Below are 20,239 nucleotides of genomic sequence, written 5' to 3' on the forward strand. Positions count from 1 at the left end.
TTTTCCCTCTTCCTTCCTAGAAAGAAAGAATATGAGAATGAGATGCAGAGTAGAGTTCCCAACATTAAGCATGAGAGAGACAAAGGGAGTCTAGGAATCTGGATAATTACAATTAGAATTCGGACCTTGGGATATCTATGGTTCACAAGAAATGTGTTGTTTAGCTGCCAACATTTCGATGCTTCATTAATGTAGATGCTTCCAAGATAATTGCTCAATTAATTATCAAGACTCTACATGTTCACAGAGATATTTGACCTGAGTTATTTCCTTTGCCAGGATAACTTGAAGGATGAGTAAAAGACTTAACTTGGATAAGAAAACCTTCTCATACATTCTGCTTAAGTCAGAAAGCCATTTCCTTGAAGTTTCTTAGCATTCTAGGGCTTATATGGTGCTGGGTTGAATGCTAAGTGTTTACCTCATTGGTTCCACACAACACACCAAATTGAGTACTGGAGGTGTTATGTAACTGGCTCAAAGTTATAAAACTCGTAAGAAGCAGAGGAAATTGAAACTGAGGATTATTGAACTCTAGACTGCCTCCCATGTGGCCCAAGTGCTCCAAACTAGGCCCCCGGTTTGGATATGAACGTGCACTGCCAGTGAGGATCTTCGAATGAGGTGTTCTGGGGTATGTAGGTTTCATGGCTGCTCCTGAAGCAATTACTGATTATCTCTAAGTGATCACTGGCATTAGCATTATTAAATGTCCAGTCACATTTAAGAAGCCATGTGGCTATGTGGCTTTGTCACATCTGTTGACCACAGAAAATGACTCAGTCTATTATCCTGACAAATTGAATTTCAATCCCTTGAGAAAGATACTCAAATTGGAAAATCATCTGCACTTTTGCTTCCTTGCTACATCTCTGGCTTTACTACAATCATTTCTTAAAACTTCCAACAGAACAGCAACAGCTCTCACAATTGGCATGTTAAGGATCCTCTATCTGAATTATTTAGGAAAGCTGTAGAAAACGAAAAAACTAAGACTCAAGAGCAAGCTACTGTCTCTTTTAGAGGATGAGCTTCATACGGCTATTTTATTCTTTTCCATGTTAGAAGCAAAGTTTTAAAAAATACTCTTTATGCTTTTATGCAAATGTTATGTGATTTTTAAAAGTATTATGCATAAAGACAATAAAAAATTAAAAGTAAATACTTCTTTTTTCATTAGCAGGTGTTCAGTAATGTGTCAAATCTTGATATACCTAATTTGTCTTCTTTCAACTTTACTTTTGGATTTCCTGATTCCAATTTTTCAAAAGTTGACAGACATCATGTTATTGTCACTAATTCCTCCCACTCAGCTCTCAGAGGTTCATTGTTCTGAGGGAGAAATTGTCATCTCCCCTTTTCCCTCCACTGGCTCAGTTTAAGAAAGTGAGTCAGATTACGGGTCTTTTTTTTTTTTTTTTTTGCTTCAGCACAGGCTGGCATTTGATTCTGGAGTATCCCAAGACCTTTTCTAGAAAATTCCAACTCTTCTTCCTCTTCTCCTGCTCTTCAGTCTTCAGAGCCTCTTTGTGGTTCAAGGGGTGTGGGTAAAAGGGAGAGTTTGCTCGGCACCACTGGGAGGAAGCTCCTGAGCTGACCCTTAGGTACTGGGGAATACCTGTCCTAAGACAGTTAAGTGAGACTTTTCAAAACTGATGGATAGTATCTGGCTTCATCCACAGAGAAGACCAGCAGAATCGCTTGGATATTGGGACATTAGGCATACTCATCTAGAGCTCCTCCAACCCTCTCTTTTGAGTTCAGGGCATAACTTCTTCCATGGACCACTCAGTCAGTGACATTTCCATGGCTAGTTTGGTGCAGCGTGTGTGAGTTCTCTAACGCTGACTGCTCAGCCCACTTCTGATAATTGTGGCCTGAGAAAAATTTAAGAATTTAAAGGAGTAATGTTGGTATTTCTGAAAACCTTTTGTTTCTAGTGGTCTAAGACTGGCATTGAAGTCTAGGAGCCCAGTGGCATCCACGTAGAAGAATCAGCTTTGCAAGCCGAATGCATACAGCTGTTGTGGAGCCTTATGCTCCTACAACTTAGTGGAGCATCTTTAAGTAAAAGAATACAGACATTTCTTACTCTTTCTTTCTTTTTTATTGTTTTTTTTGAAACAGAGTCTCAGTCTGTCACCCAGGCTGGAGTGCAGTGGTACAATCATAGCTCTTGGCCTTGAACTCCTGGGCTCAAGCAATCCTCCCATCTCCACTTCCCAAAGTGCTGAGATTACAGGCATGAACCACCATGCCCGACCACTTTTCCTTACTTTATGAGATATAGAATCATGTGAACAAATTGCTAAAATCTTGGAAGGTGTCTTGAAGGTTAAGCATTTTAGCTTCCAGTCAATTCTTCCTCTGTCTCTGAGCAGCTCAATTGACTCTCTTCACCTGTGGACTTCTGTGACCTTGTGACTGTACTAGCATTTCATCTTAACTTTCTTGTCACACCATTGTTTCCTCATTCATAACTGTTTCTCAGTTATACACACTTATTTTGATGTGTATTTCTCTGTAGCCCACCCTCTCTCTACCTAACAAGAGTGATCTTACAAATTATTTTCTGGAACAGCTCAGTTTATGTTGTCCTGATAGTTATTAATAGAACTCTTTTTCACTATCAAAACTTCTATAGTTTAGATGATAAGGTTTGTCACTTATTTATTGCTTTTAGTGACTTTTTTGAATACACTGACATTGCTCATACAAGATTGCCTAGTTTCTGGACATATTTATATTTCTTCCTAACTTAGTTTTGGCTCTCCACTGTCCTTCCCAGATTTAGTTAATATCTGAGCTGGAATCAGTCAGGATCCTGGGATTGGATGGATGTTTTATGATTGATTGATCTTTGCAGCAATTTTAGCAAAGTATTCAGCCTTATTTGTGAAGCCATCAGTACAGAACAAACATTCATGACATCACAATTATCCCATCTCAAGTAACCAAACAGTACCCTGAACCCCCAAATTGCTCCTCCTCGTAATCCATCCTATGTAATGTCACATAAACTTGTCCAAGCCAGACACTTCCACTTACTGTAACAGAAGATGCAGTTCAAAAAGAAATATCTTGCCAGGCGCTATGGTTCATGCCTGTAATCCCAGCACTGTGGGAGGCCGAGGCTGGTGGATTGCTGGAGCTCTGGAGTGCAAGACCAGACTGGGCAACATGGCAAAACCCATGTCTCTACTAGTCTCTACTAAAAATACAAAAAAAATTATCTGGGCATGGTGAAGCTCACCTGTAGTCCCAGCTACTTACAGGGCTGAGGTGGGAGGATCACTTGAGCCTGGGAGGTCGAGGCTGCAGTGAGCCCAGATAGTGCCACTGCACTCCAGCCTGGGCAACAGAGTGAGACCCTGTCTCAAAAAACAAAAACAAAAAACGGAAAGAAAATTCTCAATGACGTATTTTTTTTGGAGATGAGTGTTCATGGTCTATTTATGTGACATGTACCTTGACAAAATAGTTCGTATAAATATGATTTTAGGTCTGTTAGGTGTGTGAAGGAACAAGCAATAAAGAGATCAGAAAAATTTCATGAAACTGCTTGTGCTCACCAAGCTTGTTTCATGTGTGACTCTTGTATAGACCAAATAGGAAGTGGCTGAGATCCTCAGGCTCCCTAGACAAGGGGAAATAGATGTTGTTGGTTGAAGTCAGGTCTTGGAGTCAGATCTGGTTTGAATCTGTTCTCTGCTACTTATAAACTGGCTGGGCTTGAGTTACTTAATGTCTCTGAGCCTTGGTTTTCTCATCTGTGAAACTGGCATAATGATGCCACCTGTCTCACAGGTTTATTGTAAAAATTAAATCAGACACTATTTGTGTCCAGTAAGCATGCTGCTAAGGCATAACTGTCAGCATCATCCTCATCATCTGTGTGACTCTCTTGTAGTCTATTGACATTTTTGGCATCATTTTGAAAGAGTAGAATCGTGGTTGTGGGAAAGCATTGAGGGTAAACCTTAGAAATAGCACATTTTAGCAGGAAAATGTGGAGCCCAGAAGCAGGAATCCAGGTTCTCTTACTATTGGCTTTGCAACCACAGGCAGGTTGCTTCTCTGTGTTTTAGGTTTCTCAGTTACCAGTGGTAGGTAGGGGTGTGAGAAACACCAGTGCCCTCACAGGTCACATGTACCAAATGAAATCATACATATTAGATTATTTTTTTAAAATACAAAGTACTACATTCACATATGATAGGTTTGTGGTTATAAAGATTAAGGACCAGGCCAGGCATGATGGCTCATGCCTGTAATCCCAGCACTTTGGGAGGCCAATGTGGGTGGATCACCTGAGGTCAAGAATTTGAGACAGCCTAACCAATATGGTGAAACCCCATCTCGACTAAAAATACAAAAATTAGCTTGGCGTGGTGGCTGGCATCTGTAATCCTAGCTACTTGGGAGGCTGAGACAGGAGAATTGCTTGAACCCGGGAGGCAGAGGTTGTGGTGAGCCAAGATCACACCACTGCACTCCAGCCTGGGCAACAAAAAGATTAAAAACCAGATAAGCTTTGGTGAGGATACGTGCCTGCTGGGGCTTTATCGGCGAGGTGACTTGAACACCATTACTCGCATTTTGTTGTGTTCCACTTGTGTCTAATTCTGGCTGACTTGGCCATATCATTATAAAAGACCAATGCATCAAAGAAGAACATTTCATTAATTAATTATTTTATAGAGCCAGGGTCTTGCTATGTTGCCCAGGCTAGTCTCAAATTCCTGGCCTCAAGCAATCCTCCCATCTCAGCTTGCTGAGTAGGTGGGATTACAGGTGCAAGCCACAGTGCCTGGCCATGAACATTTATTTTAATGTTACTTGACTTTTCATTGCTTCCAGTGCTGGGGTCATGGGACTGGGTTCCAGCCCATGTACCCCCATCTAGATGTTGGACTTTGGGGAGGCCAGCTGACTTCTGTAGACACCTGTCCTCATTTCTGCATTGAGAAGTTGAGAATAGATCTTTCAAAGCAATCTACGGACCACCTGCCTCCCGTGACCACTATAGTCTGAGTGGCCACTCTCTCTTGCCTGAAATGTTGCAAGTTGCAAGTCCTAATTGATTTATGTAATTTGCTGCTTTGACAACCACTTCTTCCACATCTGTTCTCACATCACAGGTCAAACTTTTCCAATGGACACCTTCAGTGTCTTCCTCTGCTCTTGGAATAAAAGACAAGCCCCTTCCCCTTCCTTAGGCTCCAAACCTGTCCTAGTCTGGGTATCCTGCCTCTTCAGACCCTCTTCCCACCTCACCTCACCTGGGCACCCCCCAACTTCTAGCTCCACTAACTTCTTTCTGCCACAGTGCTATTACTGCCCCTTTGTCTGGTCAGCCCCTACTCAGCCTCCTGCCCCCAGCTCAAGTGCAATTTCCTCACAAAAGCCTCCTCAGGCCTCCCTGGACTGAGCAGGCCCCCACTCCTGACTCTCCCAGGGCAGGACCTTTCCTTCCTAGCTCATGTCAGCATTGCAGTTTTATATTAGCTCATATGCTCATTCGATTCCTCCTTGCCTCCCGCTCTGAACGTCACTCCTTGAGGACAGAAACCAGGTTTATCTTCATTCACTATGGATCCTCATGTACCTGGCATGTTGGAGGTGCTGGATAAATATTTTTTGAGTGCATACCAAAATGAATGAAATATACATGAACTATAAGGTAATTTTAAACATTTCACGTATTATGATTCTATGCTTTTTTATCCACCAACTCAGGGCTATTTAATGTGATTCTTATGTGGGACATCCCAATAAAGCTCTATTATTTCTAGACGTCTAACTTCTCAGAGTCCAATACTAGGGATTTAGTAAATTAAGTGGACACAGGTATTCTGGAATTCTTTCAAGGATGTGAATTATGAGCCAATAAGGCAAGAATCAGGATTCCAGAAGAACCCAGTGGAACTGATGATGACCAAGCCTTCTCCATGGACTTTCTTTGGGTTGAAGCTGCCCAAAATCCCTGCCAGAATGATGCTGAAGTTAGGACCACACAGAGAGCCTGGCTGTTAGTCAGCACTTGGGTTGTAGGTGACTGCAATGCCCAGTCATCTTTATCCAGTCTAGGCCATGTTAACCCTCTCTTGCTCCTTCGCTCTTCCGGACGGGTGCTGTGATTCGCCTCTGAAAAGTCATGCAACCCTCTGGTGTGCACAAGCCCTAGTCTGCTTATTAAATCGGAATTCCAGGGGCAGCGGCTTGCCTGGTGGATGCCCCTCTCCCCATCTCTCCTGGGCTTTGGCACTCATTCTGTCCCAGGAGACCTGCCTTTCAAGTCCCCAGAGTGACTCAGGGTGACTTCATACTGGGTTTCATTTTCATGTATTCAGTTCAAGTACATTCTTTTAAAAGCTCTGCTTTTCATTGACAGTAAGAAAACTGCCCTGGTTTGTAGGTCTGACACAGGGCTTGGAAACTTCACTTTTTAAAAGGATCACAGGTGACTTTGATACAGATGCTCATGGACAAAGCTTTACACTGTTCTAGAAGCAGCAGTACCCACAGCTCAGGCATTCATGTTTCCTTTGAGCCAGCCTCAGGGATGAGTGAGTGTGGTGGAGGGAGCTAATTGGTGATAAATTGGTGGAATAGGTCCCTAGCCAAGGGCAAACCCAATTTTTTTTCGTCTAATATCCAGAGACAGTTCAGCTTCACTTGTTTGTCATATAACACTGTCTCTACCCTGCCTGCTGGTTGGAGCACAGTTGAGCATGTGAGGGTGTGCGGAGCTCCAATTATGTGCACTGGATTGATGGGGACACATCAGCCTTCACAGACAGCCAGGGAGGGTGAGAGCAGGCCAGAAATGGCGCCCACGGTCACAGAAGTGTAGCAAGAGGAACAGTCAGTTTGTTAGGGAAGCAGTGAGTGAAGTGTTATGAGATATTTATGTCTAGGAAGAGTGTGCTGGTTACCAAATTAATCCAAGCGTTCTTAAATGTTTTTCTAACTATACAATTATATGTGCTTATTATAGAGAATTAAGAAATATTTCAAAATAGGAAGAATAATATAAAATTCCTCTGCAAAGCAACTTCTCAGAAATAACTAGCAAAATTTTACGTATCCAATATGAAATATACATTAAACACATATTATTACAAATATCTGTTATACTATTTATATATAAATATAGATTACATAATATTTATATGCTAAAATATGTTATGTATTTAATATTGGCAATACACAAAATATCACTATTTACATATACATGTGCACATATATATACACAGAAACACCCATAAATTTTGTTTTAAACTTGAAATAATAAAGTTTATATTTTGCTTTTTTTCACCTGACATTACATTGTGACATTTTCCCCATGAGATTTGATAGTCTTCAAATACATGTTTTTTTTTTGGTGGGGGAGGATGGAGTCTCACTCTGTCACCCAGGCTGGAGTGCAGTGGCGTGATCTGGCTTACTGCAAGCTCTGTCTCCCAGGTTCACGCCATTCTCCTGCCTCAGCCTCCTGAGTAGCTGGGACTACAGGAGCCCACCACCACGCCCGGCTAATTTTTTTTTTTTTTTTGTATTTTTAGTAGAGACGGGGTTTCACCGTGTTAGCCAGGATGGTCTCGACCTCATGATCTGCCCGCCTTGGCCTCCCAAAGTGCTGGGATTATAGGTGTGAGCCACCGCACGCGGCCAAATACATGCTTTTTAATAGCTATATGATATATGATGTCATGATAAAAATAAATTATTACTTGATTTTAGCCATTTATATTGTTTCTAAATATTCATTATTATAAAAAATGCTTCAATGAGTGATCTTGAACTTAGATTTTAGTCTGTTTCTTTGATAATATTAAATTGTCATTCCTTTAATAAGTCAAAAGCAGGGATGATTGTGTTCTAATTTAGTGTCTTGCTGAAACTGAGTCAAGAAACATTTCCAAAGTGGAATTGTGGAATAGTGGAATTGCTTTCTAAATATCTGATGTCAGAGGAAAGAAAGGAAGCTGGGAGAGCCCCCTTCCCACTGCACTGTCCCCGCCCATCACAGACAAAGGACTCTCCTCTCTCTGTCTACTGTGCATCTGCACAGCCAGTTGAGCCCTGGTTAGTTCTGGCATTTGTGGGCAGGGAAAGCACTGTAACTACTTTAGCAGCTATTTCACTAAAGCTTTTCTGTGTGGCGTTCATGCATCTCAGAGGGTGTAGCCTGGCTCACAGAGTATCTGATTCCATGTAGCACAGCTTTGCTATGCTGGAGCCAGGGTGGAGAATTGTACCACAGTGTTAAGAAGACAGCCCACAGAACCTTGGCAGGCAGAACATCATGCTTTGAAAAAGTTAAAGATTGATGATAATTAGTTAATGAGATGTCAGGCTCACTAAAGAGAGGAAATCATTAATTAGTACTTAATCTGTTTTTAGATATACTAGACTAGAGTCTTACAATTTCCAGCAGCATCAGCTTTAAACCATGACATGAATGCAAAGTGTAATTTCTACCAGCAGACTTTTTGTAATTATCTTATTAAAATATGCTTTGGTACACTGAAACAAACATTAGTTTTAGTTCAATTTTAATTGTGGGGAATGAGAATTTGGAGCACTGACTTAGAGTTTCTAAGGAAAGGGAAATTTCATAGCGATGTGTTTAGATTCACTCTCCTTCATCCACTGTAGAGGAGCTGGTTGCCCAAGCATTGCCTTTTGGCAGCTTCTCATGGGGAGGTGATGTCACATCTGCCTCTGAAGGCCCATTTGGAGGAGATCCTTGAGATGGCCTGGGATCCACCCCATGCTCACCCCAGCTCTGTACTTTTCTTCTGCCTTCATCCCTGTGGCCTCCTGCCTCCTCTCGGTCGGGTCTGTCCTTCTCCTGTGTCTCTGGGGTATCCCTTGATCCACACACACAGCCCTGGCGTGGACCCGCCCTCACTTGCACTGTGCTCTTGGGTTGTGGGGGTCACCATCAGGTGCTTCTGTCTGCTTGGGGCTGGCTCCCAGCTCTGCTCACTTCCTGTGCAAACTTGAATGATAGACTAAGATTCTCTAAGCCTCCATTTCTTCATCTACAAAATGAGGCTAATAACAGGAACAATGCCATCAGGTTTTCAGGATGAAATGAGGTGACAGACATTTGGCACACAGCCAGGATTCGTTGAGTGTTTGCTCTTAGGAATATGATCATAGTTTGAAGTCAGTCAGTCGAAAGCTCTTTAAAGTCAGAGAATTGGCTTTGAGCTTTCTATTTCATCTCTGCAGGACTCAGCATGGGGTAGAACATCTGTAGATGCTGAATACTTGTCATTTGACTCTATTTCCTAGAGTTTAATGATTTTCTATTAGCACACCCTGGCTTTTTTGACTGTGACCTGGGTGTTTCTGCCCAGGTAACAATGAGGCTGCAGCTGCTTTCTCATTTTACACATGATCAGTGGTGCATTCATAAACGTTTTCCAACCAGTTCAAAAAAAAAAAAAACAACCCACTGATTTGTGGTTTTCTTTGGTGTAAATAGTTTCATCATGGCCAACTTTGAGCTACCGTCGTGACAGGAACTGGCTCACAAAAGCCCTCAAAGTTTTTGCAGTTGACATTCTTGAGCTGCTTGACCTACATACTGCAACTGGACTCCTCTAAAAGTAGAAACCAGGGGGCTTCAGTGGCGCCTAACACTGACGTCAGAATTCACAAGGGTGAGCTGGTGTTCTGAGTGGCATTTAGCTTTCATGAGACCTTGAATCAAATCCGAATTCACATCTGACATTTATCCTGCACATCACAGGGCAGCATTGTGGACAGTGTTGTTGGTCTTCCTCACCATCCTGGGTGTCTCAATGAGAAATGTCAAAATTCATCTGCTTTACAGGTTATTTCATCGAAGGGAGAAAGAACACTTGTTTGCCATATGATGCGTAAAATGGGTCTAATTAGCCACGGATCTAATAGCAAAGCATTCTTTGAATTGAGGTTTGATCCTGCAGAATACTTTTTCTTTCTAAGCCATCGTTCATCGTTAAATGCATAAGGACGGTACAGGCCATGTCCCTTGCAGTATTCCCAAAGGCCTGCTGCATACAGCCACATGGGTCATACAGAGCACAGCTCCGGAGATGCCCCTCACGTCAGCTCCGATAAGAATGATGCCTGTGGAGCTGTGCAATGCTGCTGCTCTTTCTATTTTTACTTATATGTATTCCCTACTCAAAGAAGTTGACAACTAAATAGCTAGAAAATGAGAAATGTCAGAAGTGTCTAGCACACATTTCTAGAGCAGTTTCTCAGAAAAAGGGTCACCCCTGTTTAGCCTATGGCAGATGAATTGCCTTATCCAATACAGAAAAGACTTGAGTAGTTACCACATACAAGAACTCTGCTAGGTGCAACTATAATATTAAGATGCCTTAAGTAGGCCGGGTGTGCAGTGGCTCACACCTGTAATCCCAGCACTTTGGGAGGCCAATGCCAGTGGATCACTTGAGGTCAGGAGTTCAAGACCAGCCTAGCCAACATGGTGATACCCCGTATCTACAAAAAATACAAAAATTAGCCAGGTGTGGTGGCATGCGCTTATAATCCCAGCTACTCGGGAGGCTGAGGCAGGAGAATTGCTGGAATCCGGGAGGCAGAAGTTGCAGTGAGCAATATTTCGCCACTGAACTCCAGCCTGGGTGACAGAGAGAGGCTCTGTCTAAAAGAACAAAACAAAACAAAAGACAAACAAAAAAATATAAAATAAGATGCCCTAAGTGCCCAGCAAAAATCTGTGGCTGCCTATCACCCTGTCCATTTGTGAGTTAAATTGTACACCTCAGTGTATTCTATCGTGAACCCTTCTGGGTACAATAGAGGTAACAAAAAGGCACAGAGCACAGGCCACCCTCAAAGAGCTTCCTACCTTTTCAAGAAACCCACATGTGTGCATATGCATCCTGTGGGAATAATATAGTAAACACGCCACTCTGCAGTGACATGCCGACTTGGTTTAAAGCCCAAACATTTAAGAAGACATCTGTTTAGATGAATGTGGTCCATTTTAATATAGTTGCTCTTGGAATCTGAATAATTATTTCAATGTTGCTGCTATTGTACAAATTATATTTGCATTTTCTTTTTTGGAATTGCCTGCAGAGTCCATGACATGTCCTTGTGAATATCCACAGTTAATGCAGTTTTTTCAAGGGTAGATTTAGGGCGAATTCTTTGATAAATGTATAGGTTTATAAGCTGACTATGAAGGTACAGCAAATACTATAGGTTGGCTTATTCAACATGCATCTCAATCTCCCAGCCCCTTGTGTTCCCTTGTCTTAGACACTGGGAAGCTGAATATTCAATCTCCCAGCTTTTGTGTGTAGCTTAAGGTAGGTAGCAGGGCAGGCAGTCTTTGCCAATAATATGTACATAGAACTTCCTGGGAAAGGTTCTCTTCTCTAATTAAAAGGCAAAGCCTTGGAGAAGGAAGTTTTCGGCCATTGGCTCGTCCTCCGTGCCTGTGTATGGGATATAGGAGGAGTATCAGGTGGATTACAACCATGAGGACACTGTGAGGACAAAAGCCACTTCCTCAGGGTGCTTGGTCAGAACAATCGGAGGACCTGGGCTCTGGCAACGTCATGGAACTGCCATCCTAGTCCCAGACTGCACATCACTGGATGTCCTGCCCAATATGGTGAAACCCCATCTCTACTAAAAATACAAAAATTAGCCAGGTGTAGCCTGCAATCCCAGCTACTCGGGAGGCTGAGGCAGGAGAATCCCTTGAACCCAGGAGGCGGAGGTTGCAGTGAGCTGAGATCATGCCACTGCACTCTAGCCTGGGCAACACAGCAAGACCCTGTCTCAAAAGAGAAAAAAAAAAGAGAACAAGAGTAAGTAGGAAAAACAGTTAGAAAATTGTCCTGGTTAGAACTTAGGATTCATTTTGAGAAGTACAGGAAGATAAATATGAGCAGAAGAAAGCAGAGACAGATTATGGAGGACCATAAATGTTCATTTAGAAACGAGATCCACGGGTAGGAAACAATTGCATGTTCTGTAGAAGGCAAGAGATACGGTATGCTTTCATACGAGTTGTCCGGCACCTCTTCTACTATAAATAAAAAAGGAAATAGACTTAATCAAAACAAGCCAAGATGACTTTTTAGGGGAGTACTTTTGCTAACATGCTGTTTCTTGGATTGTAAATCCTGAACACCAGGGGCAATTCCTGTGCCTGCTTGATATACAGTTCCCTTGCTGGAAACCTCAGGTCGGTGAGGACAGTGTTTGTGGAATAAAGGGAAGAGGAATTTGTTTCTTGCCTTGATGCACTTTCAGCAACTTTGCATCCTTAGGGCTACTATTTCTTAAGATTTGACAAGGAATAGAAAGGTATATTACATCTGGGATAGGAATAGAGCATTAGAAAAGTATTTGATCAATTTAAATTATGCATGACTCTAAACAGCAGAAAATTAAGTCAGTGGTCTTGGAGGCTGGCTAGTAATGGAAACCTGCTACAGTATACTTAGTGTATAGACACAGTCTATTTCTAGTATAGTGATGACAATGTAGTCCAAAGTTTGCTGCTTGAGATGGCTTTAATGAAATAGATAGCTTGATTCTCCCTCCTCTTTCCCCTCCTCCTCCTCCTCTTCTCCTCCTCCTTCTTATTTCTTCTTTTCCTTTTCCTTATTTTGTTTGAGACCTATTTAACTTAAGCATTCATTGAAGCATCTTTTTCAGATTTTGTCAACGTCAATACAGCATTGATCGTAATTGAACTATAGATAGAGCCTACTGGGACCAGACAATCAAACTTGAAATTAGAATTGATGCTATGTGAATCTATAATTTTTATCTACAGATTCTCATTTCTATTTGTTCCATCATTTGACTTTCCTGATGATAATAACTAGTCTCCAGTTTCTTTTCTTTTCTTTCTTTTTTTTTTTCAGACGGAGTCTTGCTCTGTCTCCCAGGCTGGAGTGCAGTGGCGCGATCTCCACTCACTGCAACCTCTGCCTCCTGTGTTCAAGCGATTCTCCTGTCTCAGCCTCCTGAGTAGCTGGGATTACAGGCGCACACCACCACGCCCAGCTAATTTTTGTATTTTTAGTAGAGACAGAGTTTCACCATATTGGCCAGGCTGGTCTCAAACTCCTGACCTCAGGTGATCCACCCACCTCAGCCTCCCGAAGTGCTGGGATTACAGGCATTAGCCACTGCACCCGGCCTCCATTTTCTTTTTCTGCAAACATGTTCTCTGCTAAGTCCAGACAGTGAACCCTGAGTTTAGCCATCTATGTATAAGTTGACATTTTGCATAACTTATATTTTCGGGGTCTCTTCTTATCACTTTCTGTCTTTGCAGCTAAAACCAGGTTGCCATTTAGGAATGGCTCTTTGCAATTTTTATTTGAATGAAAAATTTCCTATGATTTCATGTAGTTCTCCACATCTTTAATGTATCAGAATTTAAAATAAACTACAGATTGCTCAGTTCAATAGATACAATGTTTATATATACGATGATACATGTCAATATATATATAAGGTTTTAGACTTAAGTAAAATATTGATTAGATGAAATAGAAATAAATTAATACAAATCTCTGCCCATGTTATGTCAGAGTAATTAATATACTATACTTACACATTATTACATATAAGGCCCACATATGATGTTTTATATGTAATCCTAGTATGAGTCACCATTTTGGAAATAAATCATCATTATGAACCAAGATGTACATATTTTTAAACATACAAAGCCAAATTCTTGCCTGTCTGCAAGTTGAAACACATGGGCAATTAACGGTACTTCAGAAAACTGAAAAAGATCTCTTAAGGATTTATAAAAGTTTGTTAAATTTTTAGCATTTTTAGCAACACACTTCCAGACCTAAAGCCATCTGAGGCTTCTCTATTTTGCTAGTATCTGAGACATGTTAAAGCTCTATTTAGCGCTAGAAGTTTTGACCATTTGCTCTCTAGAGCCACCCCATCTGCTCTGGAGCCTGTGGAGGGTGGGCAAGGCTGCACCCTGGGGGCTGGTCCTTGCTCAGAGCCTCTCTGTAGCTTAGGGGGAGGCTGCACCTTGTTCCAAAGCAACACAGACCTCTCTCTGCTTAACCTAAAGAGACATGAGGTGCCAGGAGCCACAGGGCAGGGCAGTTTTATTGTGGTGATTCTGTGTTAGTGACAATGCTGAGTCAGTGTGTCACTTTCAACAGGCATTTTAAATTTCCTTTGGATATTGTGATCACTCTTCCAGCAGGTCCCTCATTCCTATCCCGTCAACTTCCATTTCTCTTTACTCTCATTGATCATGTAATAAAGCAATGGGAAATTTCCTGAAACAACTTTTATTTTTATAACCTTACTCTGTGGTGTATCTATGCACAACGACTAAAGGAGTGGAAGCTCATTACCAGTAACGTTTTCGAGGACTTTAAAACCAACTTTTCTGTGCTGAGCTGTCTGGAAGTTCCTCATGATACCGGTGACCACATTTTTCTTATCATTTTCTTATGAAGTTATTTTGAAAATTTTCCCATCCAAATGGACCAGTGGGTGGACAGGGGACACAATTACTAATAAACTATGTAATCATTTACAATATAAAGTGGGAGAACTTCAACCAGGTTTTGGCAGCTAGCTGGTAACACTCCTGGTAACATAAAAAGGTATCTTGCAGTTAAAAAAATAAGTTTTGAAATAGTAAACTCATGACGGAAATCTTAAGTTATTTAAACATTTTCCAAAGGACATAGTCATCCCAAGAGCAATAGAATTGAAATAGGAACATTGTTAATTTATGTTGGGTTAAAAATACTTTGCATATTTAATGTTAATTTTAGCTTTAGCTTTTGCTCAGAAGTTCTGCAAATACCTGAAGGGATTTCAGCTTGCTCACCACCTCTCCTACACACCCCTGTCAAATGGCATGGACTGCTATTGTTATCAGTTTTAGTAGTCGCGTTATTTTCCATGTGAAGTCAGAGTTTAGAAGCGCTGCTCTTTTACCACTTTGGATGATTCCTACACTTCCTGGGAGGGAAGGATGACAATAGTCATATTGAATTTGTGTTCCATTTTGTCTCCTTTTCTTTAAAATTTTGCCACTGAAAGTGCAGAATATCTGAAACAGAATGAAACCTCACTGGAAAATACAGTCTGTTAGTGAGTGCTGGTGATACAACTTACCCCAAAGGAACAAGTTCAAATTCTGAAGTTCATACCTTGGTGAGGGTGAGATAAGTTGCCTTGCTGTAGCATGCATTGATGTCTAAGTATGCCTTAGGAGGAAATAATAATGCACATGTTGATTGTTAAAAGTACTATCTGCTCCATAGAAACCTGGAATCTTTTGCAAAGTCCGTGATACTTTGAAACACGAAAGGCTGGAAGTGTCATTAGCTGGGAAGGATGAATGCAGCAGCTATTGGAAGGATAAACAGAAGGTCCAGGTGGGAGCCGATTCTCCAAGGAGCTCGCTTCTTTGGTTCTCAATGGGATGGTGGAAATAAGCTTCAGACATGAAGAAGTCTGAAGTGGGTTAAGGTTCCAGTTCTCTTCTTGAGGAGTCTTCTGTCTTCCTGGTCCCAAACGCAGACCATTTTATGAAAGGCCTTTACCAGGCAGCTTTTCAGCTTCTGGAGAAACATTTCCTGTCAACTGGGCTCCACCTGCAGAGATGAGACACAGCTTGGGCAGAAGCATGGACCTCCAGGGCCTGAAACTGAGCACAGAAGACCTATCTTCTTTGTAAAATACATGAAATATTATTTTACAGTGATGACAACAACTTTAGTAGAGCCCAGAAGTTTATTGAGTGCCTGCCTACTCTGTGCCAGGCCCTGCTCCAGGCCCTGAGGGTCTTAACAGTAAGATTGAGCCAGCTCATGTCCTGGATGAGCTGATATTTTATGGAGGGAGACAAACAATATGCTAGGAAACAAGAGAAAAATAAGATAAAGACAGAGATGATGGCAGATTCAGATTAGTGCAATAGAAGACGCTAACGGGATTCCAGGAGACAAGAACTTGTTTCAGATGCAATGTAGGTAAGGTGATTCAGGAAGGCCTTTCTGTAGGCGTACATCTCATTGCAAAGGATGAGAAGAATCTAGAAATGGGAAGAACCAAAGGACAAGCATTCCTGGCAGAGAAAACAGCAGCTGCAAATATGCTGAAGCCCTTTGCATTCTGAGAATAACATGATTTGGGTCACCATTGAAGAGACTGTAAATCTTTTAGCTACCTTACTTTTCTTTTAAAGGCTTGTTTTTGTGAGAAATAATTGGTCCCATCCCCACTTGATTTTGACATTAAGTGTGGCTAAGTAGAAGGACTGATTTTCCAATATTATGTCCTGCACTGCATAAAGAGAATGCTAAGTTTTCTGTTGTGTTGTTGTTTATTTTTGTTTTTTGTTCTCTTGGAGCTGCTTTTAATTAGAAATAAAACATGGCTTTAATGTTAACATCTGATTAATGTAAAGAAATATGTGTGCATGGTTTTTCTTGTTTTTCCTCTGTTCTATCCAAGATCATGAATATAGGTTTATGTTAAAAGTAGTTGTGAAAACAAATGTGTGTGTCACTAGAAATCACACACTTTTGAAGGGTTATAATCCTTCTCTCCTAAAAGTCTATCAGTAGAATCTGTTTTATTATAGAGAAGCCATCTACTTGGTTGTTTTCAATAAGTCCTGAATAATTTTCAAAATAAGGTGGCATTTTACTCTTTCTGATAAAGATAGCAAAGACACTGCTTTGAATTTCAAAGTATGACAGCATTATTACTCAGACAGCCTTCATTCTTTTCTGAAGTAACGGTTCTTTTCCTTTTTCCTAAACTGTTGTAAATGAAATATGAAGTTCCTTTCATAATAACATGGTTAAAAATATTAAAACTTTCAAAAATATTACCTAATATGTTAAAGGAAAATTTATGCTCATATTTAAATTAGAACAATGAGTCTGTGCTAAACTTATTATAGAGTCATTACTTATAGTAGATGGATATATATAATTTTAGAAATAAGGCAGAATTTACTTTTCAGAGCATTGCCATTTTTGGCTGTGCTTACTAAATAGCAAAGAGGTGGAAGTACACGAGTAAATGGTTGTGAAATACGGGTGGTGGGCCAAGTAATTTATCTTCAAAATGTTACTCTGTCACAAGTGGCTTATCTTTTTTGCAGCCAAAGGATCTAAACTACTCTGCATGAGCAAAAGAAAATGTGCAGAAAGAAACATTCCTCAAAATGAGTTTCTTTCATGTTGTTTCAGCTCAGGGTGACAAATACTGGAGCATCGAAATGGAACTAGCCAGGTATAGGAAGAGCTGCTGCAAAGAGCAAAGAGTGGATGCATTTTCCCCTCTTATCCCTAGATCTGGGAGATGTGGCTTTCCTTTGAAGCTTTTCTGTACTGTGGAATTGCAGCAATTTCCTTGTGATTCTGCTTCCAAGCCTGGGCTTGTAGAAGATGGAGGCAGAAGGCAGGAAAGTTAGATGCAGAAAGGCAAAGCAGAGCCTTCGGGATTGTGGAAAGTCAGGACCATCTTCCTGCAGCAACACATCATGCAGAGATTGGTTTACTGTAACTTTCTTCATGAGAGTCTGCAGTTCCTCATACACTTGGCAACTCATTACACAATTATTCCCAAACGCCTTCTGCTGAGCTTCACAATGGCCTGATGGCTTTCAGAGCTCCCTCCCTGTGCCCACTGGATCACCCTTTTTCTCCTCCTGTCCACCCTCCTTGGCCTAACACTTAATGTGGCTCCCTGGTCATGTCCTTAGTCCTCTTTCCTAGTTCTATCACGACTTCTATCAAATCTGCATGGCTTCCATTTTCTATCACGTCCCTGACCCAGATTTTCAGTTGCCTCCTGATTGCTTCCTCTAAGAACTATAGACATCAAAGCTAATTTAGGTTAATCCAAAATTTAGGTTAATCCCCTCAAGCATAAAATTTATCTGCCTTCTCTGTTCCCAGTCATGGTGTATGCCTGCAGCCACCCATTTTTCATAGAGTTAGTTTTGACTACAACTTCTTAGTAGTGCATTGGTCACCAGAAACTATTGCTTCTGTGGCATATATATCCTAAACCTGTGAAATCATCACAGTTCCATTGCTGTCCTTCCTGCCTCTGATCCCTCACTACTGTAGTTGTTTCCTGTAGTCCCCAATACACACACACAGAGCCAGCAGATTTTCCCTCTAAAAGCCATATGTGCTTCCTTCACCCTAACAAAGTCTTCAGCAGAGCCTCCAACCTCTCCCTAAGAGTGTATGAGATGAAGTCCAAACTCCACATGTCACAGAGCCCTTCACATCCAACCCCATTTACTTCTTGCCTAAGTTCAGGTCAATAAGTACTATTGCATACCTAATGTATGCAAGGCACAGGGAAAATAAAGATGGGTAAGACACTGCGAGGAAACTTGCAATCTGAAGGGATAGAGAGAAGAACCGGTGATTTAAAATTAATGATTGAAGTGCTTGGAAGAAGACACGCATCCAACCACTTTTTATACTCCGCGTACACTGGACATCTCCCTGTTTCCAAAGCAGGCTGAGCCTCGCATTGCATTTTGTGATTTTCCTCTCTGAAATTTCCATTCGCCCTTTCCTGCATGACATTCCTGCTCCACCTTTCAGATCCTAGGGGACTTTGTCTCCTCTGCGAAGTTTTTCCTTACTTCTGCAGACAGCTGCTTGCTTCTTGCTCTAAAATTGCTAATGCATGGGCTCATGCTGCTGTCACCTTGCTCACTGGAAGGCTGGACTGCCTTTTTTATGTCTGTATTCTTTGCCCTCCTCTCATTCTTTGGTACTTCGTAGATGCCCAATTTCCGTTCATTGAATAAATGAATCCCTCACTTGGCTCAAGTTAAAATCAATCATCTTACCTGGACTGATAAACATTTCAGCTCCCTGGAGCTCCTCAGTCATAAGTATATTGAGGTAGCAGGTTACCTAGATGAAGACTTACAAAGCAAGACCAATTATCTCCCACTCCTTCCCTGCTTTCCTTCCTTTTATCATTCTTCTCGTAGAGAGAAGAGGACCTGGAAAAGACTAGCATTTTGGAGACTGGGAATGGTGACTGGGAGGCCACAAGAGGGCTGCCTGAAGAATGTGCTGGAATGAGGGAAAGAGATTGTGTGAGAGGGTTTGGGCTACCCCATCCTCCAGGGCTCATTCGAAAGCACTGTTCAGTCACTAGCGTTTTTCTACTTAATCAATGGTGAATAGCTTTCCACAGGATTTCACTTTTGCAACATGATTGGTAATGGCTACATAGTGTTCTTTAGATGACGTCTTATAATTTAACTTTAGATGATGTCTTATAATTTAATTAACTTCCCCTATTTTTGGGAAGTCAGACTGTTGTTTCTTTTGCACATCTAAAAAAGGAACACCTCTCAGGTCTGACTCCCTCCTGAGGACAGAGATCTGGCTGTGCCCTTGTCTCTTGCAAGGAAATCTACATGTTGCTAGGCTGTTTTGCACCCCCAGCCTGTCCTCTGGGAATAGGAACGAGCCTGCTCACTGGCCTGGATATTCTGTCGTAAGAGTCATTTTTTTTGGCTTTGTAACACATAAGTATTTCAAAAGCCACTCTTGTGGCCTTCTATTACACTATGAAAAACTGAGGGTCCACATTTGCCTTGAATGCAGACCTCCCTGCCCTGCTGGGGATGTCTCTCTCATTTATCTTTGCTGCAGATCCCTGACTTACACCCTGACTTGTAATCTGGAACCACGCAGAGATTTTCAATGACAATGTGGGGAAACAGAATTTGTCTGAACTTTGGTGATTTTGAATGAAGTTTATATAATAATTAAAGCCAGGTATGATTGTTCTAGCTCCTTTTCCACCCGAACTGGGGGTGGTGCAATTAAATTCTGACACTAATGATCCAGAGCTAGTGTCAGACCCTACAATGAAGGGTTAAGTCTTCCATAAGATAGCCCTCACCTCAGAGGCCAGCAGCAAGTTCCAGGCCCCCCCGGATCCCCCACAATTCTGACTGATGAGTGCTTCAGTTTGGATAATTCACAGGAATGCCTCACAGAACCCAGAAAAGCATTATACTTACTCTTACAATTTTTGTTTGTTTGTTTGAGACGGAGTCTCGCTCTGTCACCAGGCTGGAGTGCAATGGGACAATCTCAGCTCACTGCAATTCCGCCTCCCGGGTTCAAGTGATTTTCCTGCCTCAGCCTCCCAAGTAGCTGGGACTACAGGCACA

At 41.6% G+C, this 20,239-nt stretch overlaps 2 long non-coding RNA genes across 2 annotated transcripts in view; one reads left to right on the top strand and one right to left on the bottom strand.

Annotated features, from left to right (window-relative positions):
* Positions 1-20,239, top strand: part of PENK-AS1 (PENK antisense RNA 1) — a 106,261-nt gene that overhangs the window by 59,105 nt on the left and 26,917 nt on the right. The window lies entirely within an intron of this gene.
* The window catches only part of LINC00968 (long intergenic non-protein coding RNA 968), a 41,506-nt gene continuing 34,673 nt past the window's right edge, over positions 13,407-20,239 (bottom strand). The window contains exons 2-3 of the long non-coding RNA NR_038236.1: positions 15,210-15,656; positions 13,407-15,109 (exon numbers count right to left, since the gene is read on the bottom strand). This is a non-coding gene — a long non-coding RNA (long intergenic non-protein coding RNA 968). The remainder of the gene's footprint in view (positions 15,110-15,209; positions 15,657-20,239) is intronic.

Source organism: Homo sapiens, chromosome 8 (genome assembly GCF_000001405.40).
Source record: "Homo sapiens chromosome 8, GRCh38.p14 Primary Assembly".
In the NCBI taxonomy this organism is placed as follows: Eukaryota; Metazoa; Chordata; class Mammalia; order Primates; family Hominidae; genus Homo; species Homo sapiens.